Source organism: Homo sapiens, chromosome 1 (genome assembly GCF_000001405.40).
Source record: "Homo sapiens chromosome 1, GRCh38.p14 Primary Assembly".
Lineage (NCBI taxonomy): Eukaryota > Metazoa > Chordata > Mammalia > Primates > Hominidae > Homo > Homo sapiens.
Genome location: NC_000001.11, coordinates 162,068,574 through 162,095,355, shown reverse-complemented (window position 1 = coordinate 162,095,355; position 26,782 = coordinate 162,068,574). Strand labels below are relative to the sequence as shown.

Sequence of the window (26,782 nt, the reverse complement as noted above, 5' to 3'; positions counted from 1 at the left end):
ACAGACCTTCCTGCTATATCCTCACAGGGCAGCAAGAGAGATCATCTCTCTGTCTCACCTTATAAGGGCACTGATCCCACTCATGAGGACCACGCTATCATGACCTAGTTGCCTCCCAAAGGCCCCACCTCCAAATAGCATCACACTGGGCATTAGGGCCTCAACACAAAAATTCGGGGAGGACACAAACATTCAGACCATAGCACTCCATCTGTAAGTCACTGATCAATCCTCACTAAGAAATTTGTAGAAGATATGATGCCACAGCTCCTATAACTGTTGCCAATTGCCCACACTGGGCTATGAAAAAAGACATTTAGGTCAGACTCACATTCATGACACAAAATCCCTGCAGAACCCATAGTGGAGTGTGAGTGGACTTAAAGCCAGCTGCTCCACCCGTTACACCCCATCCCTCTTTCTAGCAACTGGAACATGTTCCCAGCAGCACTGTAAGGAGTAGAAGATGACATGTGGCTGCCTGGTGCTGGAATTAGAGCTGGAATGGACAGCGATACCTGGTTTCCACCCTCACCCACTCTTCAACAACTGGACCATGGTTTGGAAGGACCATTAACAGGACAGAAGTCAACACTTGCATCCTCTCTGCTCAATCCTAAACTAGCTGAGAGATCTTGTCTGAATCACCAAACTTACTCAAGACAGAGCTTCAACAAGTGTAAAGTCAAAAGAAAGGTGATGGTCCCTAAAATGTCCCAGAATCTGCCAAGTGTCCACTTCCCAGCCAGGTTCAGGACAGGCCCAGGGCATGCCTGCAGAACTCAGCTCAGACACTCAGCAGATGTTTATTAAACCATCCATCCATCAACATGACTGTGTTTATGGTTAGCCCTAACAAGCATGATTAGGGGCTGGTTCTCTAATTCTGTTTTACGGGTTTTGTGGGCTCCAGGGGAAGAATAAATCAAGCAGGAGTTTACTGAGTCTGACTCAGCACACACCACCAACATTTCAATCAGACCAGAGTCTGAAAAACAAGCAAATATCACTCTCCCTACCAGTCCATCTGCTGTCTTGATGAAAGATGAAAGTAAATGGAATGAAGAGCATAGGGAAGAGAACCAACCTGTGTTTATGATGCCATGAAGACCACTCCAGCACACAACAAAGTTCACTTTCAGAGTGAGGCAAGAGTGTGTAAAAGCCCCCTCCTCCTCCCAAGAGGGTAACTACTCACTCCTACCCATCAGCTGAGAGTCCAACCACACATCTGCCATTGGTGCGAGTCTATCACACAATATGCACACTGATAAATCTGGCTTTCAAGAAAGGCTAGGAAAGTTACAGACAAGCACTTACGCCTATTGAGGTCTTAATAAGTCACAGAACAACTAGGCTGCCAGAAGGAACATTAGAATCCATCTTCTTGGTCAAAATCATTAGAAACATAAGTCCTAGAGGACGGAAAATTGTATTGTGGGCCCTGTTCACATTGACTAACTGCTTTGTACTGTTGCTTAATTTTTTTCAGTAATGTCCACAGGCCAGGCACAGTGGCTCATGCCTGTAATCCCAACACTTTGGGAGGCCAAAGTGGGAGGATCACCTGGACCCAAGAGTTCAAGACCAGCCTGGGCAATATAGTGAGACCTCGATTCCACTAAAAATAAAAAGTTAGCCAGGGTGGTGGTGCATGCCTGTGGTCCCAGCTATTCAGGAGGCTGAGGCAAGAAGATCACTTGAGCCCAGGAGTTCAAAGCTGCAGTGAGCCATGATCATGCCACACCACTCCAGCCTGGGCAACAAAGTGAGATAGCGGCAAAAAAAAATAAAATAAAATAAAGCGCCATAGTATCTCTTCCACTAAACTGTATGTAGCCTGAGAGAGAGACAAAATATCTAACACATACCTACCTAATGTCCTCGCCACCAAAAATACTGCCTGAATATGAAAAGCACTCTATTCACACCTGTTACCAAAATAATTCTAAAAAGTCCACAGGGTATACCAAGCTTGTGCAACACCATATCTACATCACATGACCCTTGCAGCCAACACTGTCTTGTTCAAGTTTATGTCCCTAACATCTAGCACAGTGCCTGGCTTGCCATAGTACTCAGTAAATACTGATTGCATGAATAAAATTCTCTTTCATAATCCCCTTCTTATTTTAACACATTCCTACTTATCCCCTGCTCAGATAGGGGAGATATTTTTATCAGAACCAGCACTGAGAGGCAGCATGCAATATTCCAGGGGTTCTAGAGGCCTAGGTCTACTGGGAACTGCCTTTCACTACCTAAGGGATGTTACAACATTTAGCCACTAAGACTTAACTTCCCTACCTGTAAATGGAAATAATAAAAACTATCTCAAACAAAGGATCTGAAGATCAAAACAGTAATTAAAGTGTTAGATAAACTGCAAAAGAAAATAGAGGATAGGAGTAAAGGAGGTACAAGATGAGAATAAAAGAAGCAGCCAAACACTTGCCGCTTAAAGGAGCCATTTTTCTCGTATCCCCTCATTTATGGTACTAAAGAAGAATAAGGGCTTGGCCTGGTGAATGCAGGAGGAGTAAATCCTCCTTACCATTTCATCAGGAAGCCTCCCCACACTGCATCTTCTTCTCAGGATCTGTGGCATATAATTTAGTACTCAACAACACACAGTAGGTGAGTTTGTTCATCTTTTCACATGTTAGTCCCATTTCTCCAAACAGATTCATTCACTGCATATACATTGAGCATAAATCATGTACCAGGCAAGGGTATGCAAATTTGAATTACTATCTTCTTGCCCAAAGAAACAAAAAGACCACTGAGAGAGAATAAGCACTGAGATAAATAAAATGTCAATTCATTAAGTCAGTCATAAACTCTTATTCAGTGAATAGCATGGAGCCTTCAGAGAAACACTTTTCTTGGAAATGTCAACAATCACCAGATTTACCACTTGGTGGCATGAAAAGTTCAACAGGACTGACGAAGCCAGGCCTTCTGGTTGTGCTCTTGATTCTGCCACAGGAGAGCTGTGATAGTGCTGATGAAATCCTCCTCTGTTCTCTCCCTCAATTATTCCACACAAACACCAAATTCTGCATGCCTGTATCTTAAGAAAATCCACTAGCTGAAACACTGAACTTCCTAAAACAAAAGAATGAATGAATACCCTTCAATTTACTCTATAAAAGTCCTCTTCGTTTTACAATAGTCTGTTTACTCATTACTCAACAGGGAAGCTGGGGTTTGAGAGACTGGAATGTGGCCTGGGAGAGTTCAGGACAAGCTGCAATGCCAATCCCATCCTTTGTTGGATCCACAGCCTTGAACTAGTCACTTTCATCTCTTTGTACTTCAGTCCCCCTCATCTGCAAAATAACAGAGCTGATTTAGGACCTAATCTCAGAGGTGATCTCTGAGGTCCCTTCCAACTCCAGCACTCCGTGATTCTATATTTGATTCTTCCTGTATATTCTGCAGACCACCCCACCTTGCCCCAGTGAAGTCACATCCCAATTACTTAATGCCCACGTAGTGGTTGACAGATCAATTAGAGCAAACAGCCAGAACACAGCAAGACTGCACAGCACTCCACATGCTCCTGGGCTGTGTAAAGTGCCCTCTCTCTTTGAGGAGTGGGAGGAGGAAACTTGTGATCTCTGTCTTCCCTTAGCTGTTCATCAACATGTTGCTCAAATGTAATTACACATAAGCAGGATTTATTCATTCCTTATCCTATGTTCTCAAATCTTTATATGTTTTGCTGCTCCATGGGGGAAAAATAACTTAAAATCTCAGTCAGCAACTTGCCACACTGTAGTGAAAATTAAAAGCAATATCCCAATTCTGGGAAAATGGTGGCAATATATTTATTGAGTCTTCCACAGTCTCTACAAAAAATAAACAGAGCAACTAAATAGCAAATTTAAAAACTCATGGATGACACTCAACAAAATTTGGTGACAAGTTATCGGAGACAAATCACCAATAGCCAGTATGATATTGATGTCTATGTGGGAACAATCAAAGGGAAGCAATGGGGCATATGATGAACCTGAACCCAAAAGAGCCAATAGGGTAAACTGGAGAACTGCCGCTGAACCTGGAACAACAGGGGACCCACAGGAGGTTCGAAGGGCTGGAGCACTCAAGCCACTAGGAACTCTCAAAACTGATTGCCCAGGACAGGACTCCACACCAAGAGAAACTGCTGGGAACAGAATCAAAATGAAGCAGGACAGGCAACAGAGACAAAGAAAAGAGAAGGCTCAGGTAAAAGAGAGAGATGGAAACAGAACTACCACATTTTTTAAATCTCCATGAAAACAAGAGATTTTTAAATCTCCATTTCTCTGTGCAGTTAGAAATACTACCAAACCAACCCTCCTTTTTAAAATTCAGGAAAACTAAGTTTACATAAAAATTAACAACAGAAAAGTAACAAGGTCAAATCCATAAACATTTCTATAAAAAAAGAGAGAATAAGGAACAAAATAACATCCTTAGAAATATGTGATAGTGAAAGCATGCCAAAAAGACATATTTTTAAATAAGCTAAAAATACTTTAAATTATGCAAGGCATGAAAGAACAACATAAATTAGAATTAGAAAAATTCAGAAATAAAGTGACAAAACTCAAGAAAGCAAAGTAAAAAAAGAAAACTATTTTAGAGATAAAAACTAAACTAGAAGAAATATAAGAAAAAATAAACCTAAAAACTGCCTGAAACTTAGGGAAATTTTTTAATTAAAAAGAAATAATAGGAAAGAGATCAAAGGGATTTGAAAGTGACAAACATCGAAGATAGGCAAACAAGAACCAACATATGGATAAGAGTGGTTCCGGAAGAACAAAACCAAAGCAAGGAATATAATTCTAAAAACAGTAGTCTGTGAAAACTTTCCTGGAAAAAAACTATTTGAAACCTGATATTGAAAGAACATATTGTTTACCTGAGAATACTGACTCAGAATAATATCAACATATACTCTAGTAAAATTCTCAGACTTTTTTTTTTTTTACAAAAGATAATTTAGGCAGCATCTAATTTTAACTGTATACAAATTATAAGGAAAAGAAAAATTAGATCAGATTTACAACAAGCTTTATGCCAGAAGTAGATGGAATAACACTTAAGATTTTTTAAAAAATGTCAACCACAGATTTAATATTCAGCAGTTTTGACCTTTCGCATACAAAGAGCATAGATAAAATGTTATCAACATTCAGAAAAAAAAAATCAGGGAATATTGTTTCCATAAGCTTTTCCTAAGGATACTAGAGAAGAACTTTGGATAATCAAAGTGACTAGAAACAAGAATGTAAGTTTTGGTAGTAAGTATTAAATATGTAATTATTGAAGAACTAAAAACTAAATGAGGGTTAAAAAGGAAATATTATAATGTGTAATGACTATATGATTGTATTAGTTAACTAGGGCTGCTATAACAAACTATGACAAAGCTACAGGCTTAAGACAACAGAAATTTATTTTTTATAACTCTGGTGAACAGAAGTCCGAAGTCAGTTTCACTGGGCCTAAATCAAGGTGTTGGCAGGCTGCACGGCCTCCAGAGGCTCTAGAGGAGAAACTATTCCTTGCCTCTTCCAGCTGCTGGAGGCTGCCAGCCTTCCTTGGCTGTGGCCACATCACTCCAATATCTGCCTCTGTGGTTACACTGTCTTTTCCTCTTCTGTGTGTAATCTCCCCCTCCCTCCCTCTTGTAAGGACAACTGTGACTATATTTAAAGCCCACCCAGATAATCCAGGATAATCTCACCATCTCAAGATCCTAAACTTAATCACATATACAAAGTCTTTGTCATGTAAAGTAACGTTCACAGATTCCAGAGATTAAGACATGAATACTTTTTGAGGGACCATTACTCAGAGTATCACAATAATACAGTATAACCATTTTAAAAGATGGTGAAGGATACAGATGACATATTTTTTAAAAGGTTTTGGACTGTTTTCAGTAATCATAATTGGTGCTGGTGTTTGTACTACTATTCTGAGATTCCTAATTGTGTAGTGTAGGATAAAGCAAGTGAGTAATTATGGAATATTGGATTCTGTTATTCCCTATGTATTTGAAAACCAGAATTCTCAGTGTGGACAAAAGATCAGATGAAATACAGAAGTAGTTAAGATATTGGAAATATCAGTATGAACACACAAGTATGTTTACATCTATCACATTCATCCTTGCTCTTTCCTTATGTGTAGTTTCCCAGCTCTGTTCACCAAAAAAGACCTACAGACAATGGCCAACTCAATAAAAATTAGCATCCCTGGTGCCAAGATAATGGTCTTGAAATACAATTTTGCATTAAAAGATACCAGGTCTTCCTGGAGAAATGATTGATTCCAGGTCTGAGACACAAAATACACAAGGAGTGGAAGAGAGATGAAGGGGAAGGAGAATGGCGAGAGGGAGAGAAAATCCCTGATACCAAAAGAGGTATCGGTCTCCAGATTGTATGTATTCATAAATTCATAATTCATAAAGACGTTACCACAGGAAGGGGAAGGAGGTGCTGCTCAGCCCTGGACACACACACACAGTCTGGACACACAGCTAGCAGTGTCCAGCCAAATGCTTAGTAGTATGAGGAGGCCTTTGACCTACAGACTGAGTAATCTGGCCTCAAAGAGGAAATCATCACCATTGTTTGGGGGCACACCTCAAACCGTCTTGGCCTGCTGCCATTAAACATTCCCAAATACCCTTCTGATGGAGATCTGTCCCCCTCCTCACCACCACCCTCCTACCTGCAGGGAGATAAGTGCTGGTTTTGTATCCCCAAGTATATCCAGTAACTCTTTTCAATTAGGTTCCTCATTGTCAATCCATAAAAAGAAATTCTGGCCTCATAAATCAGGCTCGATAATCTGAACAACCCAGTTCTGCTCACAAATGTCCTTATTCTGTGTACACATCAGCAGTTCTTATGGCTGCACATGGCAAAATCACCTGGGAGCTTTTAAAATTACAATGATGATAGGAACCCAGCCTGAACATATGAAATAAGAATCCCTAGGGGCAGTGGGTATCCATGTTTTATAAGTTCCTCAGGTGATCCTATGGTGCAGCAGGGTTGCAAAGTACTGTTACATGAAATTAGGTTTCTGAGGCAGCAAGGTTAAGTGTTAGCCCTCAAACAGTCAGCAACAATGCCGGCTTTTAAGCCCAAGACCCTGGCTTCTGGGACAACCCCTGGGGCTCTCAAGCACATATAGGCCTCTTCCTGCTTGAATTTCTACAGAAATCCAAGATCATAACTAAATCTTTTTTATCCTTTGCCTTTCCGCAGAATTTGACCCTATAGAGTTCTGATGCTTTTCAAAATACTTCTCTTTTGGCTGCAATAGGGTAAAATTAATGACTAGACTTTAAAGGATTTTTTTTCACAGAGCAGCAAAAGGTATAAATATTTGAGAACATAAGACAAATAATGGATAAATCCTGCTTATGTGTAGTTACATTTGAACAACATATTGATGAACAACTAAGGGAAGACAGAGATCACAAGTTTTCTCCTCCCACGCCTCAAAGAGAGAGGGCACTTTACACAGTCCAGGAGCATGTGGAATGCTGTGCAGTCTGGCTGTGTTCTGGCTGTTTGCTTTAATTGATCTGTCAACCAGTACATGGGCATTAAGTAATTGGGATGTGACTTCACTGGGTAAAGGGGGATGGTCTGCAGAATACATGGGAAGAATCAAATATAGAATCATGGAGTGCTGGAGTTGGAAGAGACCTCAGAGATCACCTCTGAGATTTAGGTTCTAAATCAGCTCTGTTATTTTACAGATGAGGGGGACTGAAGTACAAAGAGATGAAAGTTGACTAGTTCAAGTCCATGGATCCAACAAAGGATGGGATTGGCATTGCAGCTTGTCCTGAACTCTCCCAGGCCACATTCCAGTCTCTCAGACCCCAGCTTCCATGCTGAATAAAGAGTAGACAAATTAGTGTAAAGTGAAAAAAGTGTAAATGAGAATGGGGAGGTGGCTGCCTCCCTCCCACATGGCACATCCAATGCATTCAGACTGCCCTAGAAGAGGTGAGTCAGCAGCCTCAAGTGTATGCTTCAGACATATTTTTAACAGAAAACAACTTAAAGCTACTGTTGGAAAGAGGAAATAAAGACTCACTAAGGGGCATCACTGTCACGAGCTACTGGACATCCATAGCATTCAAGGGATGTCAGCCTCACTCTAACACACCAAACTCTTGCTGAATTCATCCAACCCTGTGTGTCTTTACTGAGTGGCTACTATATATCAGGCCCTCTGTCTGCTGCAGAAAATACAAAAGTTCAACCACCTTTTGGGGCCCTATGCTAGGTACACAAATAACACTACTATAAGTCAAATGGTGCTGTGGCAATACAAGGAAGCACACAGGTACAGTTGGACGAGGGTGAGAAACTAGTATTTGCTGAGCTAACCCTCACAAGATGAGCGTGGAGTTGTTGTATGCATCCTATGCCTACAACTACAAAGCCAGCTTCAGGCCACAAGCTAGTTCAACTTTAGTAAAAGAAAAATGAGACCCACACCATAAACCTCTTTACCATCCTGTCAAGGGAATGGCTGGGAGGGGAAAGTCATTAAACATCAGATTCTCTACATAAAATTGTTTTGTGAAATATAACCAACATGACTCAGATGACAGTTCGGCTGGTCAGGGGAAGCAAAATCACTACAGTGGGTAAGAGCCATGTTGGAGATCCCACTCCTGGCCAAGGCACCCCAGTAAATGTGGTGAAGAGTGAAGCAGTGTACCCAGACTGTCATCAACTTCATGCATTGATTCATTCATTCAAGACCAATGGCACACCTATAAGGTGTCAGGCACTGTGCTAAGCTCTGGAAATTCAAAAGCAAGTCAGATACAGTGCTTCTTTAAGGATCTCACCAGCCAGGGAAAGCTACTCAGGGTGGGCAAGGAAGGGTATAGAAGACAGAAATAACAGATATACAGTGGATAAATATTAACAAAAGCCTGGAAACACAAAGGAAGTTGTTGTCTAATATCCCTAGCTCCGACCACTACCACCTCGTGCCTGCAGTACAGGATGAGCTTCCTAGACATTCTCTCCAGGCCTATTATTGCCCCCTCCACCACTCTCCATAGAGCTGCTAAGGATGTTTTAAAACCTCAAGAATCATCATTTAAAACCCCTGAAATACCCCTTCCAAAGCCACAGACTAGTCCACTAACAGCTGCCTCCAAAAATTGTTCTGGGTCCAGGAAAATGGATGAGCTCTGCCCCATCGCAGCAGCACCCATGAGTATGCTCTACAGAAAGCTCAGTGGAACAGGGCTGCATGTGAAAAGCAAGACCTCATTTCAGCACCAAAGCCTTGAGCTCATTTTTGTCCAGAATTGGATATGAAGTGAACTTGGGCAAGTCACTTGATTTGACAGACCCTCAGTAGCAGCAACTATAAAAGAGGAAAAATAGCACCCATCTGGCAGCACAGTTGGAAGAATTAAATCAGAAAGTTTATAAAACACCAAGCAGAATGCCCAGCACATAGTATGTGATTAATACCTAATAATATAATGTGCCTATCTTTCCACGTGTCAGTATCTTCCCAGTGAGGCTGACATCCTTCAAGTCACCATCTTGTCTCATCTCTCTCTGGCCTTCAACACTAAGCACTGTGTCCCAAATATGGTAGATGCACAATAAATGCTTCCTATAGACTGGATCCATTTCTACATCTGCATTTAGGAATGCAAATTCAGGGAACAGGAGTCAGACTCGGAAAGGGCTATATGAAGAAAGAAATCTAAGGAGAATGCAACAAACCCAGGGGAGGAAAGTGGATATTAGTGAAATAAGAATTTATGAGGGAGTACACAGTGATTCATAAAGACCACCACTTGGGGAGGACCCCAGTTCTTCTTGGTCTTCCCAGTGAAACTTCCTTTGCCTGCTCCAATGTTTTCACCCTATGATTCTTAAATTTTCCTGCTTGATTTGATTTGATTAGAATTATCTGGGGAGGCTCCCAATATGGAGAATTCCCACTTCCACAAAAATGAACTAGATATACCTTCCCCTATTCCTCTGAAATAGAACTAAAAACTCCAGACATTATACATAAAACAAGCAGGAGAAGAATCTGAAAGATGGAGAGAAGACAGACAAGCTGGGGACCTCAGCACCCAAGAGATGGCATAGCAGCAAGTTCCCTGCATTTTCTTTTTGCCTCACATCTCCCAGACTGGTTGCTGGAGAAGCTGGAGACCTGGAAACACCAATAGACACTGACAAAACAAAAAAGGTCCCAAGAAAGCCTGTTCTCTCTAACCAAATGACCAGGAAAGGGGCAGCACAGTATGACAATAAAAATTTTTCAACAGCAACAGCTCCACTCCAGAAAAATACCATAGAAAACACTATGGGCTGGGTACAGAGGCTCACATCTGTAATCTAGCACTTTGGGAGTCTGAAGCAGGTGGATCACTTGAGCCCAGGAGTTCCAGACCAGCCTGAGCAACATGGCAAAACTCTACAAAAAATCCAAAATTTAGCCAGGCCACCTGTAGTCTCAGCTACCAGGGAGGCTGAGGCAGGAATATCACTTGAGCCTGGGAGGTTGAGGCTTCATCAGTGAGCCATGATCATGCCACTGCACTCCAGCACAGGTGACAGGGTGAGACCCTGTCTCAAAAAAGAAGAAAAAGAGAAGAGAAAAAAACTGTGGCCCAATCTCACCAACCGAGTGGGGAAACTGGACTTCTCCTTCATCAGGCTGTAATAAGATGTTCCAGTCTTACCTCCCTCCTGATAGTGGCAACACCAAATGGGAAGCTGGAACATCCACCTCACCTGGCAACACAAGGCCTCCTCCACCTCCTTGCTGGGGTGTCAGAGGAGACCAAGTGGAGACCTTGAACTTTTGCCACCACCCCAGTGGTACTAAGGCCAGCATTAGTGGTTGTCATGTGGAATCAGTAATGAGTTGCCCCTGCCCTTTCCAACCAGGGTGGTATCAGCTGAGGCCTAGTGGATAACCTAGACTTCTACCACCACCTGAGAGTAGTGAGGCTCTCCTGCTAGAACAGGAGATCTAAATAAGATCCAAAGCTCATAACATAATATCCAAAATGTCCAGGTTTCAATCAAAAATCATTCATCACTCCAAGAACCAAGAAAATCTCAACATGAATGAGAAAAGACAATCAACAGAAGCCAACGCGAAGATGACAGATAATATTAGAATTACCTGACATGGGTCTTAAAGCAGTCCTAAGAATGCTTCAACAAGCAATTATGAATATGCTTGAAACCAATTAAAAAGTCAAAAGTCTCAGCAAAGACACAGAAGATAGAAAAATCACAATGCCCAGGTTGCACTGCATAATAACTGAATCAAAATCACTAGGAGTACTTAGCTATTATTTTGTTTTTATAACTCCACAGAGATTCCAATGAGCAGCTGAGTTTAAGAACCAGTGCTCTAATGCCGTGGGTCTCAAACTGAAGTGTTCATCAGAATCACATGGTGGAAAACTTGGTAAAGACACTCAGGCCCTATGCTACTTCAATAAGCCTGCGCCTCTGTATTTTTATTAGTTTTCAGGTGATTCTGATTACTCCAAAGACTGAAAACACCTGCTGTAATTAATCAAAGGAATTTGCAGGTAATTTCCTTCATCTGTGGAAGCTGCAAAATGCTTATCTGGAGGAAAAAAATGCATTTACGTGACTTTGAGGAAAGGTAAAATTTCAATCATATTTTGGATACAGGTGCCCAGAATATAGTCTGTTTAACCTGGGCTGCCAAATTTAAGAAATCTAGCCACATTAAAGAGCCAATTTGAGGCCAGGCACAGTGGCTCACACCTGTAATCCTAGCACTTTGGGAGGCCAGGGCAGGAGGATTGCTTGAGCCCAGGAGTTTGAGACCAGACTGGGCAATATAGTGAGACCCTGTCTCCAAATAAAAAAATTGCCAATTTGAAAATGTAGTTACAGTGGAGGCTATGTGTGTTTATGGAAAATAGCATGGACTCAAGATAATATGTTATCTGTCACTTGGCCCACAGGAGACATGAATCTTCCTCTCCGCAGAACAATAAAATGCTTCTACACGAGTGCTTCTTCCCACCCAAAGAAACCAAAAGAAAAAGCAAAGAGTTTACAGTCAAGATAGAAAAAAAGGACACGGCCGGGCGCGGTGGCTCACGCCTGTAATCCCAGCACTTTGGGAGGCCGAGGCGGGCGGATCACGAGGTCAGGAGATCGAGACCATCCCGGCTAAAACGGTGAAACCCCGTCTCTACTAAAAATACAAAAAATTAGCCGGGCGTAGTGGCGGGCGCCTGTAGTCCCAGCTACTTGGGAGGCTGAGGCAGGAGAATGGCGTGAACCCGGGAGGCGGAGCTTGCAGTGAGCCGAGATCCCGCCACTGCACTCCAGCCTGGGCGACAGAGGGAGACTCCGTCTCAAAAAAAAAAAAAAAAAAAAAAAAAGAAAAAAAGGACACAACCAAGGAGCTTTTCCATTGTGCGTGGTGGACTGAGATTTCCAATCCAAAAGGCAACATCTCTGGGAATGACCTTTTCAGCGTTTTGTACTCTACCAGAGGCACCATGGGGCCTCTGGGTGGAGAGAACTTGTCCTCAAAAATAGAGGTGGGCCAATAAACATATGCAAAAAAAGCTCAACATCACTGATCATTACAGAAATGCAAATCAAAACCACAATGAGATACCATCTAACACCAGTCAAAAGGGGTATTACTAAAAAGTCAAAAAATAACAGATGTTGGCAAGGTTGTAAAGAAAAAGGAACCCTTATAGACTGTTGGTGGGAGTATAAATTAGTTCAGCCATTGTGGAAAACAGTGTGGCAATTCCTCAAAGACCTAAAGACAGAAATACATTTGACCCAGCAATCCCATTACTGGGTATGTACCTAAAGAAATATAAATCATTCTATTATAAAGACACATGCATGTGTATGTTCATTGCAGCATTATTCACAACAGTGAAGACACAGAACCATCCTACATGCCTATCAATGATAGATAGACTAGGTAATGTGGTACATATGCATCATGGAATACTATGCAGCCATGAAAAAGTACGAGATCATGTCCTTTGCAGGGACATAGATGGAGCTGGAAGCCATTATCCTTAGCAAACTAATGCAGGAACAAAAAAAAAACAAATACTGCATGTTCTCACTTATAAGTGGGAGCTAAATGATGAGAACACATGGACACATAGAGGGGAACACCACACACTGCGGCCTTTCAGAGGGTAGAGGTTGGGAAGAGGGAGAGGATCAGGAAAAAGAACGAATGAGTCCTAGGTTTAATACCTGAGTGATGAAATAATCTGTACAACAAACCCCCATGACTCAAGTTTACCTATGCAACAAACCTGCACATGTGCCCCTGAGCTTAAAATAAAAGGTTTTTCAAAAATGGAATAAAGGAAAAAAATAGAAGTGGGGCCAGGCACAGTGGCTCACACCTGTAATTCCAGCACTTTGGGAGGCTGAGGTGGGCAGATCACTTGAGCCTAGGAGTTCCAGACCAGTCTGAGCAACATGGTGAAAACCCATCTCTACAAAAAAAAAATATATATATATATATATATCTATAGATATAGATATAGATATATAGATATAGATATGAAACTTAGCCAGGCATGGTGGCACATGCCTGTAGTCCCAGCTACTTGAAAGGCTGAGCTGGGAGGATCACCTGAGCCCCAGGAGGTCAAGGCTGCAATGAGTCATGATCATGCCACTGTATTCCAGCATGGGCAACAGAGTAAAATCCCATCTCAAAAGGAAAAAAAAAAAAAAGCTGGGAAAGGCAAGGAAAAGGGCATGGGCATTGAAAGGAGTGAAATGCCACACTGGACAGGAAATGCACAGGCAAGAGCCCAGCCAAGAATAACACCCTCCAGGAAGGGCCTCCCAGAGCTCCTCTCCTTCCCATTCTCCAGCATTTCCACCTACTCACTGATGCCTCATTTCTTTATCTGGACAACATCAACATGGTCCAGAAAAGTCTTTACAGGTGACCCGTTGCCCAATGGCACAGAACAGCAGACCTGGGTCCCGGACATAGCCACAATGGAAAGGACTAAGGTCACCTTTAACAGACCATTTGCCTATTCAATCCAACCTAAAAGACCCTCCTCTGAAAAACTGGAACAATAAAACCTATCCCCATGGGATAGGGGCCACTGTAAAGATTAAATTAGTTAATACATGTAAAATGCTTAGAACAATGCACAGAACACAGTGAGCACTTGATAAACATTAGCTCTTGGTATTTTGAATGACATACAGCACAAGAGTTAACAATGGAGACACCCTGAGCCACACTACCTGTGTTTGACTCTGGGATCTACCCACTACTAGATGTAGACCATGAGCAAGTTACTCTGCCTCTCTATGCCTTGGCTTCTCCATCTATAAGATACAAATAATGATAATACCTTAACTAGCATGGTTGTTGGGAGAATTAAATTAATCGTTTCATAGAAAGAGCTTGGCACAGTGCCTGGAACACAGTAAGCGCTTTCTAAATGACAGTAATTATAATGTTATCTTTCTATGATGTGGCTAGCATGAGGCAAGTAAGTTAGGGAGTCCCCTTGACCTCTGAGGTGCTTGTAGCCTAATTAAGGAGACAAGCAATGCACACACAGAAGTAGCAGGGAAGAAAAGCACAGAACATGGGATGCATGATAATTCTGCAAGCATGCAAACAGCACTTCTCATGTTCTCCTTCCTGTCTCCTTTCTCTCTCCCCAACACACTCACATGCCAAGGGAATTCAGAATGTTACAGGGTGCTGTGGGATTAGGGGAGTGCTCCCTTCTTGGTCACCCCCTTACTCCCAAGGGCAGGCCCCTTGGTAGGGATTCCCAGGTCTTATTCAATACTCAACGCTGCTCATTTAAACAAGTTCCCCCTGGAAAGCACTTCGTTTCAAGAATAAATGGGGGTAGCCACTCTCCTCAGTTTTCATGGATGGACCATAAAGGGGTAAGACACAGAAGCCTCACTAGAGAAAACTAACAGGGGTTAGTTTTCTAACTAACAGAGTAGGAATTCTAAAGTGTTCCAGCACCCTCTGGGCACTGAACTTGCTGGAAGTGCCATTTTAAATAACTTTTAAAGCCAACTGCTCCAGTGCTTAAAAGGAAACATGATGCTGAATATAAAAATTGTAAAGGGAAATGTAAGCATCACAAGGTATTAATTAATCCCATGATAGAAGATTCCTTCTGCTTAGATTACCTCTGCTTAAAGAAATATTTATCCAAGAAATTCAGAGAAAGACAAGACAGACAATACCGTACTTAAGATTCTGTGATTTTTAATCCTGACAAGGATTAAAGGGCTGGAACAAATGTGATGGTGGCATGCACCAGAACCTAGTTAACCCCTTTTTATTCCTTCCCAAAGAGGCTGACAGCTATTTTAAGCCCACAAAGTAGTCATGCTGTCTGATTTGCAACTTTAGGAATCAGAGTAGCTGCAGCTAGATTTTTTAAGCAGGCATGTATAATGAAGATAATACATGACTAGGCCTCTGACTTATAAAAGAACAGAGTGTCTGAATATTCTATAGATTAAAACCATGCACAGATGAAACTAAATTGCAACTTGTAGGACTTAATAACAATAATAAAAACAGCAGCCAACTCTGTGTCATGCACGGTGCTAGGCCATTTACAGGTACTACTGATTCAATCCTCCCATTAACCCTACGAAGTATGAGATATTTGTATCCTCTTTTTACAAATGAGAACGCTAAAGGAAAGATGTTACATAACTCACACAAAGTCAAGTAGCAAGTGAGGGATAGAGCCAGGATTTGAACCCAAACACAGTTTGGCTCCTGAATTCATGCCATGCTATGCTACCAACCAAATTCATGTCATAAAAATTGCAAAGTAGCAAATTACAGAAAATAAACCATGAATTAGGAAAAAAAAAAGACATCAATTCATTAATGAGAAAACAAGTTGAAAATGTTTCTTACATAAATGACAATTGAGAAATGACAATTACCTACTCCTGAAATTGGCCATATGTTCTATATTCAGATTCTAATTCCACTGGACATCCATCAGTGGAATTTTATTTAATTCAGGAAAAAAAAATGCTTACTTGGTATTTTCATTGGAAGGAATCAGCACTGTGTGAGATTGGGGGTATCAGAAAGAGGCCATGCTGGGGGGTCCCTCAAGCCACTGGGAACCGGAAGTTACTAGACTAAAGCAAGAGAAATGGTGGGGAGGAGTGGAGAGTCAATTAAGGCACCTCTCACCATTGGGTGACCCAGGAGGGTCCTGGCCATCTTATAGGGATCATCTCTTTCATTCAAAATACATTTTCTATGTGCAAGGCACTGTACTCAGGGCTGTGGAAGACACGGGGGCAGAGTGACATGGACCCTGACAATGACAATGTAGGGATGAAAATTGGACAGGACAAGCAGCTCTAATACAAAGCAGGTGGGACTGGTAACATCCACTTCACAGAGTGACTTGTGAACGGGGTGGGAAACTGCAGTGAGGGTTAAGGGAATGGTGGGTACTACAGTTGGGTTGAAGCCCAGGGTGATTAAAGGGAATTGTTCAAAAACAGCCTTGAATATCATACTAAGAATTTTGGTTCTAATATAGTAGGTACAGAAACTTTTCATGTTTTTGAGTGGGAGGATAACCATTTCAAGAAAATTGATAGGGCAAAAGTTTAAGGGATGAGGGGGATCAGAGAACAAGTGGGACACTGGAGGCCTTCAGAAGGTTATTGATGGCCCTGATAACAGGGGAGGGGGTGGAGCATCTGAACGGGTGATGGACCAGCCAGGGTGGGTGGATGGATGTCACTGGGAACATTCAAGAGGATTTGGCACCTAACTTGATGTGGGGTACAGGAGAGTAGAGCCTGGACATCATAGGTACCCAGTAAACAGCAAATTTGAGTTGGCTGTTAAATCAAAGAATACAAGGGGTACTTTAAAGTGTCAGGCCCATGTGCCCAAGAGGATGGTGGGGTCGTTAAAAGACAATGAAGTCAGAAGAGAAATTTGATTTCCAGCTTGTTGAGTGATAGGGACAGCAACACATTCAGGTACAGATGACCAGCAGGAAGCTGCGCATAAAGATGTGGAGTCTGGACTGAAGTAGAGAGCCAGCAGCCTGCATAACAGAAGAGTGGGAGTAGATAGAATCCAAAGGAGAGGGAATGGAGCACTCACAGTAGAGGGCAAAGGGAGGAGGTAGAACAGCCACAAAAGAAGGAGGTATGGGCAGGGGCAAGGGGCTGGCTGACTGCAAGCAGGCACAGAGAGCCCAATGAGGCATTCCACAGAGGACTAGGACAGGCAGCTCAGGAAGAAAAGTCAAAAAGGATGAGGATAGAGAAGGGGGCAGCAGAGCAATTTCAGTACAGCAGCCAGGACAGAAGTTGGAAGGAAGTGGCCAGGGACTGAATGAAGACTGAGATACTGCAGAGGGTGGAGTACTCTCTCACAAGGCTTAGCTGTGAAAGGAGGAGAAAGACAACATGTTAATTAAAGAAAGAGGTGGAAAGAAGAGGTATTTCATACAGGGAAGGCCATAGCATACTCTTAGGCAGGGAGGAGTAAGCCAGTGCCCAGGAGATGTAACTGTGCCAGGGTGGGGGTGGGGAGTGAAGGGCATAATTAAGAGGACAAGGGCAGACTAACAGGACATGGAAGGCAGATGGATCTCAAAATGAGGGAAAAAGAAAAAAAATTGGACTTCACCAAAATTTAAAACTTTGTGTTTCAAAGGACAATACCAAGAAAGTGAAAAGACCACAGAATGGGTAAAAATATTGCAAATCTATATAAGGGATTTGAATCCAGAATATATAAAGAACTCTTACAACTCAATAGTAAAAAAGCCAATCCAACTTTTAAATGGGCAAAGGATCAGAATAGACATTTCTCCAAAGAAAATATATAAATGGCCAAAAAACACATGAAAAGATGGTCTTTTTTTTTTTCTCTGAGTCTGCTTCCTAGGGAATGAGGAGACATTCTATGTTGTTCAAAAGGGAAATGCAAATCAAAACTATGATGAAATCCCACTTCACACCCAGGAGGATGGCTAGAATCAAAAAGTCAGACAACAAGCATTGGTGAAGATATGAACACACTGCTGGTGGAAAGGTAAAACGATGCAGCCACATTGGAAGTCCCACAAATGGTCACACATGGTTACCATGGGACCCAGCCATTTTACTTTTACCCAAGATAAATTTTAAAAAATAAAAATAAAAACATGCCTGCACAAAAACTTGTACATGAATGTTTATAGCATTATTTTTAAGAGGCAAAAATGGAAACAACCTAAATGTGCCTCAGCTGATGAATGAACAAACCAAATGTGGTATATCCATACAATGATATATTATCCAGCCATATAAAGGAATTAAGTACTGATAAATTATAGATGAACCCTGAAACACAACACTAAGGCAAAGAAGTCAGACACAAAAGACCACATATTGTATAATTCCATAAATATGAAATGTCCCGAATAGGCAAATCTAGAGACAGCAAGTAGATTAGTGGCTGTTCAGGTCTGGGAAGACGCAGGGGGTAAGGATTACAGGTGTGTGCCATCATGCCCAGCTAATTTTGTATTTTTAGTAGAGATGGGGTTTCACCATGATGGCCAGGCTAGTCTTGAACTCCTGACCTCAAGTGATCCACCCGCCTTGGCCTCCCAAAATGCTGGGATTACAGCAGTGAGCCACCGCGCCCAGCCTAGTGTTTCTTTTTAATGTGATGAAAATGTTCTAAAATTGACTGTGGTGCTGGTAGTACAGATCTGTAATATCTTAAAAATCACTAAATTATACATTTTAAATTAGTGAATTGTATGGTATGTGAACTACATCTCAATAAAACTATTAGAAAGGAGGGAACTCAATAGTAAAAAGCCAATCCAACTTTTAAATGAGCAAAGGATCAGAATAGACATTCTCCAAAGAAAATATATAAATGGTCTTTTCCAAAAACAGAAAGGAAGAAGAAAAGTAGCAAAGATCAAGTTTGCAGGGTAGGGCAAAAAGGCAGGAAGGAACGGCCATGGGCATGGTCCCAGGCTGCTGGGGAGGGTAGACAGCAGGACAAGGGCAGCAAAAAGGTCACTGAGGAGCTAAGAGCATCCTCAAGGCAACAAAGGTATAAAGGGAAGGCAGGTAATTATAGCCAGCGAAAGCATTCTGAAAGTTTGAGTCTTGGGAGTAGCTGCATTATGAGTAGGCAATAGTAAACAGTGAGTCAAGCCTGATTAGTATAGATAACTGGCAAAGGTCATCATTAGATGTGGCTGCATGATTTTGACCACTAAAAAGGACTGGGACATTGTGGGCAAAGGAACTACGACTGAAAGCCATAAAATCATGAAATGTACAGCTAACGTGGAAATAGATTTGTCCATCAAATCCCAAGATACCAGGTGTGGAGGAACATACTGGGACATCTGAGAGCAATGTAAGGACAAATAAAATAGGTGTCATTTCAGAGCAGTACTGTATCTTTGGAACTCACTGCCCCCCACCAAAAAAAAAAGTAGTCTGGGCAGAAGATAAGTGTTTTTAAAAGCATCTGGAAAAGCATAAGAAAGTGAACTACGTCTCCTCCTTAATGATGACATCAGAAAATACATCAGACCCTTAATCTGAATTGCTACTGTTCCAGAACCCTGGAAGACAGGACCCTTAGTCTGGGTGGAGAGAAGGGAGAAAGGGGACATAAACACCCAGTGTATAGTGGAATGGTTCTGAGAGCTCTGTACCATGCCATGCAGGCTCAGACGAGTCAGGGATACCCCATTTACGGTGACCAAATGTCATTCATCTGGAGGCCTTCATGGCCGTATGTTTAAGAGGCATCCACAGATATCCTGCTGAGGTTACTGGAATCTCTAAAATCCACATCAGGGAAACCATCAACCAATGAAGCCAGGTAGCAAGGAAGGAAATATAGCCAGAGAATTCAGCTTCAATCTGACCACATGCTCCCAAGCCACAAAATCACTCAGCAATGATATTTACTGCTTTCAGACTTTCCACAATTGGTCATTTCTTCCACTTGACAATTTTTCATTGTGACTATGTTTGTACCTGATGTTGAGGCTTGGGAGGGGGAGATACACCAAGGCATGAGGCAAGGTCCTCAAAGAACATTCCATATCACCAGAGAAGATATATGCAGAGAGGAAAAAACAGAATTTTGTGTGGTAAACAGCTTCAGCAATATCTCTCATCCCACGTGCAATCTTGCAATGTGAACTTGACATTCCCCCATCAAGAAGTAGGGCTTATGTCTCTTCCCTAATAGCCTGTTTTGACCAACAGGATGTGGCAGAAGTGACCCTATGTAACTCAGAAAGACCCAACCTTAAGAGCTTCTGCTTTCCTGCTTGGAACACCCCCTACTGAAAACCAGCTGCCAAACAAAAGGGCCACCATGCTGTGAGGAAATCCAAGCCAGCCAGTGAAGAGAATAGTCACATGAAGGACGACCAAGGCACAGTCATATGAGTGAAGCCTTCTTGAACATTCCAGCCTAGCTGTGGATGAATGCAGCAAAGTGAGTGATCCAGTCAACGCCATAAGCAACAGAAGAACAGCCCAGCCAAGCCCTGCCTGAATTCCTGAGCCATGATTCATAAGCAAATTAAACAGTTATTGTTTCAAGCTACTGAGTCTTGAGGTCGTTTGTTTTGAAGTGATGGATAACTGAAACCAGTTTGAAGCCAGGGAACCAGGGATAAGTCCTGGTTCTGTTATTATCTGACTATGTGACCTTGGGTCCATGACTTCCCCTCCAAACTTCAATTTCCTCATCTGTACAATGATGGGGTGAGGGGGTTGTACTAGATGAGCCATGGTGCTTTCCAGTTCTGACCATCTGTATCATACACGCAGATATAAGGGAACAATCTAGGCAATGAGTGTTAGGACTACAAAGGGAGCAACTATTAATACTTCAGGTTTGAGTGAGCCTTGGAGGAGGTGAAAGAACCATGGACCTGGAGTCAAAAGCCCTGGAGTGTGAGGATTAAGTGAGGCAGAGGCTAGAATAATGTATGGCACATAGTAAGTGCTCAATAAATATCATTAACTGATACACCAATTTGCAACTCTGGACAAATTAATCTCTCTGATCTCCATTTTTTGGTCTGAAAAATCGAGATAACACTAATGTGCCTGTGCCTGTCTCTATAAGAGGAAAAGTCTTTGTATGTAGAAGTCCAATGCAAATCAAAAATCACCTACAGATATAAGATATAACTATTATTAATACTCTTATTATCCTTTGTACCCATAGCATTAAAAGTCTCTTTCTCACCAAGAGAGGAGAGACAGTCAGTTGATGGCACTGGCCACCAGGAAGACATACTGGGAGATCAGGAGGCAGTTACTAAGGAGCCACAGGCTCTCAGGGCATGTGAGATTTACCCACCCACCAGCATCAGTCAGTAAGCCAGGTACCCACTCTGAACACAGACAACAGGTTTCCCTGGCAAGCAGCTCTCAGCCCAAAGGGAAATCTGGAAACAGCCAAGCATTAAAAGTTTGAGCCGGGCGCAGTGGTTCACGCCTGTAATCCCAACATTTGGGAGGCTGGGGCAGGCAGATCACCTGAAGTCGGGAGTTCGAGGCCAGCCTGACCAAAACGGAGAAAGCCCCATCTCTACAAAAAATACAAAATTAGCTGGGCATGGTGGCGCATGCCTGTTATCCCAGCTACCCAGGAGGCTGAGGCAGGAGAATCACTCGAACCTGGGAGTTGGAGGTTGTGATGAGCTGAGATCATGCCATTGCACTCCAGCCTGGGCAACAAGAGCAAAACTCCATCTCAAAATAAATAAATAAATAAATAAATGTTTGAATAATTTCCTGTACCAGAGTTCTAGAGGCCAGCAACCTGAGAACACTCCACTAGAGAGCTGTGACTCAAACCCGTGGCCAACATAGAGTGAATATTCCATAAAAATTATTGAATGAAAAGGCACTGGATTTGGGAGTCTGAAGTCAAAGCCCCAGGCTTAAATCTTGGCTTTGTCATACACAACTGTGAGCACTAAGGCACGCAACAACCTCCCTGAGCCTATGTCCTCGTTTATAAAATAGACATAAGGAGACCCATCTCCTAGGGAAGTAGTGAGAATTAAATGAGGTACTGCAGGTGAAAAAAATCTGGGATTGCACTTGATAACTAAATGCATGGGTTTTTAAGTGCACAGAACCTCTGCCACCCAGATGCCCTTCGATCCTAACCCCACACCTTTCAATCTCTGCAGAACCCTGAAAATGAGTGGCATACTTCCAAAGGAACACTCAATCCAATGTTGATTCTGAAAAACTGCCAGCCCTTGGGAGAGAAAGAGCTGCACTCATTTTCCAAGGGTACCCGACAAGGCAACAATAATACATTTGCATTTTCCAGCCTGCATTTTTCCAAAACAAGGGAAGACTGCGATGTGGATTTAACCCTGAAATCCCAGTGATTGTGCAGTTGCATAGACACTGCTCTGCAGGGATGTGGAAAACAGCCAGAGAAGGCTCTTACCAGGAGCATGTAGGACAGAAAAGCTCGTGCTTCCACCTCTGCTTAGGTCTTGACTAACATGGTGTTTGAATGTGCCAGGGTGCAGCATCAATTACAAAGATCTGGGAGTTAGGACCTGGTCCTCAAAGTCAGCCTTTGCCCAAAGAAGTTCCACCACTCCCCTTACCGTATGCTTTTGTCCTTTCTTCTCTGCCTCACCTCTCTCAAAGAAGGATCCTTGGTCCCCTATTTCTCATTTGCATTGGGAAAACAGCTTGAACCAACTGCGGCTCCCTCTCCTTTCACTGACCACCACTGCCTGTGAATCCAGGGAAGTTACTATAGGAACTACATCACACAGCCCCCAGACATTTGCTTAGAAAAGAAACAGTACATTTGGGAAAGGGAGAGTAAGATCCAGCAAATTGGAGGCAACCCTCAAGCCCAATATTTCTCAAAGTCTGGCCACAATCACCTGCATTAAATCAACTGGAATGCTCGTTAAAGGTACATAGTCCTGGGCTCCCCCAAGATGTATCAAATTAAAATTGGGGTGTGGCAAGACTCAAACTTGTTAACCCCCTCACCTGATTATTCTTATGCACACTAGGTTTTAGGGACCAAATGCAGAGGACTGAACTGTGATAAAATAAAAAGGCTTAAAATACACTTTCTATCTATCTATCTATCTATCTATCTATCTATCTATCTATCTATCTATCTATCTGAGACAGGGTCTCATTCTGTCACCCAGGGTGGAGTGCAGTGGTGCAATCATAACTCACTGCAGTCTCTAACTCCTGGGCTCAGGCGATCCTCCCACTTTGGCCTCCCAAAGTGCTGGAATTACAGGCAATAGCCACCATGCTTAGCCTTAAAAACACTTTAAATCTTATCTCCCTTCTTACCCTCTTACTTGTAAAATAGGGTACTGCTGAACCAAACAAAACACAAGCCAATTTCCCAGTTTATGTATGTCCAAGAAAATTAAATCATGACCCTGATGAAAACTCATACTTTAAAATAAAAACCTCTGCTCACCAAATCAACAGGCCTGGGCAAAAATTAACCCAAGCATCCCATCTTAGACCCACCGACCAGGTCTATTCTGAGAGATGAGAGAACTAAGATAAGATCTTGGCTGCAGCCCCACTCTGTCCCAGCCATACCCAGTAATTCAGCTCTGCATTCCACGGCAGGGTTTAATGTTTCGGGGGACTAAGCGGGGCAGTTCTCCTAGCTCCAGCAAATATGGCTGGGATAAGGTTATTCAGGGGGAAAAAAAGGTGAGCTTCACCAATTCACCCATATACATGAGAAAGAAAAAAATCTAAAGAAACTGACCACACTGGGCACATGTCAGATACTCGAAAAATGTGTGAATTGAAGGAAGAAGACACCTGATGGAATAATCCTTTCGTGAGATGCTAACAGCCTGCACGTACACCATCAAGAAAGAGAAAGAGAACAAAGAGTCAAACTGTCGCCACATCCAAAGTACAACGTTTTCAAAACCAGCAAGACCCAGCCTACTTAGAGGGACAATACTTTTCCACCTACAGGCACACTGTAGGTGCCGAAAGTCCCTGGGTCTCTCTACGTCACAGAGGAGGTCAAGTGGCTTGAAGGAAGAGCAGAACACTGTTCCACAGAAAAAGCACTCTTTCCTGCTGATGGGCAGTGGGAACCGCCACTGCAGTTTCAGAAGCCAGAACTCCTCACTCAGGGAGGTGCATCACAGGGAGTCAGCCTTGCTCACACCTGATGGTCCAGGGCCGAGGCTTCTGCTCCACCCCTCCCCCAACGGTGGACCTGGGGCTCCGACCTCAGCGCTGAAATTCCAGTCATCTCTGCTAAATTCTTCAGCAACAGTTCCCTACTAGATGCTGAAACTTAACATTAAGCCACAAAACTAGCAAATGGGTAGCTTTCACCACTCCCTTCAGTGACTGGCACATGCAGAGGAGTCTGGCAAATTAGCCATTTAGGAAGTGACTCTGACACCTAGACCCGGTTACCTGGAGTTTAAAAAAAAAAAATCTGGATTCTTTTCTTCAATTAGGAAGCAGGCATTCCTCTTTTAAAAGACCTTCCTGAAAGCACCTCTCCCTGGGAGCCCAGCAGGTAAATAACACCAGAGCTTCCTTAAACCGATTCTAAACGACCAGGTGCCCAGGCTGAGCTCACTTGCCGGCTTCTCCTCTGGAGGAGGGATCCGGGAAGTAACTCAATCCAGTCCTAGGCGGGTAAGGATGGGGGAGTCTGCAGGTGGGAAGGGGGAGGTGAGGCAATACCGCTCAAACTTTGCAGTTGCTCTTGAGCAGTTCTGGGCAGGAGCCCGCGGAATTATAGACTCAGAAGGGAGAGTTACCCTCCCTAAGAGAAAGGCCCCCAAATCGGCCTAGCCCGCCAGCTCTGGGTCCAGGACGGCTGTGCATCCCATCCGCTCAAACATGCCCCCCCAACCGCCACCACAGGTAGCACCCTCCCCGGAGCCCCCTCACCTTGGCCTCAAAGCAGATGCCGTGCTGGAAGGCGTCCTCGTTGTGCAAGGGGATCCGCAGGTCGTGCCCATCGTCCACAAGGTTGTACTTGGTTTTGCTAGGCATGGTTACCCGCGGCGGACCCGCTCCTTCGGAGGCGGCGGCTGCAGGAAGGGGCTGGCGAGACCCCGGGGAGGGGAGACTGGAGCTGGGCGCGGCGACGCGTGGCGGGGCCTGGGAGCGCTGGGCAGGGGGAGCCCTGGCCGCGCGGCGGCCGGACCCGGAGCGGTGCCGAGGGCCGAGCGGCAGCGGGCTGAGCTGATGCGGGCGACGCGAGCGGCGCTGTGGTCGCGCAATTCCTGCCGGCTAGGAGGGCGGCAGGGGAGGAGGTGGCGGCGGGAGCGGGCTGCGCGGCGCCCCTGCCCGGGGAGGGGAGCGGTGGGGCTTGCGGCCCGAAGCGGGACTGGGCGCGGCGCCGGCCCCAGAGCAGTGGAACGCACCGCCCGGGACGAAGAAGAAAAGGCGACGGTGGCGGTGGCGGTGGCGGTGGCGGCGGAGCAGGGTGCCTGTCACGGAGACGCTGGATCAGCCGCCAGCGAGCGGCTCCTCCTGTGGGGCGGGCCCAGGCCGGCTCCTCCCGCCGGGCTCAGAGGCCCCGCCCGCCGCCGGGTCCGCCCCCGCGCTGCCCGCGCTGCCAGCCGAGCAGGTGAAAGTCCCCGGGAGAGTCGCGCCCGGCCCTGCCCGCGCCCCCGGCCGCGCGACGCCGGCAACTTCGCCCCGGCCCCAGACTGCCGGGATCTGAGGTGCCCTAGCTCAGCCTAGTTTCCTTTTTTTAACGGTCAAATTCTGAGCCGGAGCTACTGATGGCCGCGGCGGCATGGCCTTGAAGTTTTTGTTTTTGTTTTTGGAGAGGGGGGAGGGGCCGTGTTTATTGTTTTGTTTTCGTGTTTTACCAGGAAGGCCCAAGTCTTGTCCCAGATATCCCAGATCTGGGCCCTCATTAATTCTCAGAGTCCCCTTTCTCAGAAGGCAAGACTGCGCCCAAATGGAGGACTATCTTAGGCGCTTTTTGTTCGTATGTGACTTGTGTAATAGGGCTTATGGGGTGCCTTTAGGGAGGGTTTTAACATTTAAAAGCCATCAGCCTTGTAGAAATGGGGAAGGCAGAAAGGAGTACTAAGGACAAGAGAATCCAGAACATTTTTATATTCTTGACTGTCTACAACTGGGTATGGACAAAATGAGCTTCCGAGTTATTTCCGGCCAGCGTATTATGGTTCCCATCTTAGTAAATGCTGGAGCTCAATTTGCCTATTGCTAAGAAGGGGCCTAGTCACTTTTCTCCTTTACATCAACAGTTTTGGAGAAAAGTTGCCTAATTATCTCCATCTTGGCAGATATCGGGTAATGGAAGGGTTGTGTCCTATGTGTTCAGTTTCTGAACGGTGCAAGATATGCAAATAAAGGAGCTATAGGAGGAGTTCGTGACCAAGTATTCAGTATCTGTGAAAACACCATAGGTAGAGCTGCAGGACAGCTGTTATATACATGGCTAACTCCAAAATCTCGGAAAGTAACCAGTCAAGCCAGTGTCAAAGCCAGTCAAATCTGAGATTCCTTAGACCAAAGGGTCAGATTCTCTGTTGAATTCATCACCTTAAACCTACTTTTAGTGCCCTGTGGACATATCTACCCAAGGCGACTTGCAGACCAAACATTATTGATTGTTT

General features: G+C 43.8%; 1 protein-coding gene across 2 annotated transcripts in view, besides 5 other annotated features; it reads right to left on the bottom strand.

The window, feature by feature from the left end:
• NOS1AP (nitric oxide synthase 1 adaptor protein) overlaps positions 1 to 25,665 on the bottom strand; it is a 300,785-nt gene extending 275,120 nt beyond the window's left edge. For both annotated transcript variants that reach the window (NM_014697.3, NM_001164757.2), the window contains exon 1: positions 25,074 to 25,665. In NM_014697.3, coding sequence (NP_055512.1) covers positions 25,074 to 25,178 — 105 coding nt within the window. In that variant the 5' untranslated portion in view covers positions 25,179 to 25,665. The remainder of the gene's footprint in view (positions 1 to 25,073) is intronic.
• Positions 2,773 to 3,367: an enhancer, noted in NCBI's record as "OCT4-NANOG-H3K27ac hESC enhancer chr1:162061779-162062373 (GRCh37/hg19 assembly coordinates)". NCBI's record gives its function as "activates a minimal SCP1, AML or CMV promoter by ChIP-STARR-seq in naive and primed H9 embryonic stem cells {active_cell/tissue: H9 hESC(naive and primed)}" and the evidence as "EXISTENCE:reporter gene assay evidence [ECO:0000049][PMID:30033119]".
• Positions 3,368 to 3,963: an enhancer, noted in NCBI's record as "OCT4-NANOG-H3K27ac hESC enhancer chr1:162061183-162061778 (GRCh37/hg19 assembly coordinates)". NCBI's record gives its function as "activates a minimal SCP1, AML or CMV promoter by ChIP-STARR-seq in primed H9 embryonic stem cells {active_cell/tissue: H9 hESC(primed)}" and the evidence as "EXISTENCE:reporter gene assay evidence [ECO:0000049][PMID:30033119]".
• Positions 25,332 to 25,391: a silencer, noted in NCBI's record as "silent region_1492". NCBI's record gives its function as "represses an Ori minimal core promoter by ATAC-STARR-seq in GM12878 lymphoblastoid cells {active_cell/tissue: GM12878}" and the evidence as "EXISTENCE:reporter gene assay evidence [ECO:0000049][PMID:35858748]".
• Positions 25,402 to 25,581: a silencer, noted in NCBI's record as "silent region_1491". NCBI's record gives its function as "represses an Ori minimal core promoter by ATAC-STARR-seq in GM12878 lymphoblastoid cells {active_cell/tissue: GM12878}" and the evidence as "EXISTENCE:reporter gene assay evidence [ECO:0000049][PMID:35858748]".
• Positions 25,612 to 25,911: a silencer, noted in NCBI's record as "silent region_1490". NCBI's record gives its function as "represses an Ori minimal core promoter by ATAC-STARR-seq in GM12878 lymphoblastoid cells {active_cell/tissue: GM12878}" and the evidence as "EXISTENCE:reporter gene assay evidence [ECO:0000049][PMID:35858748]".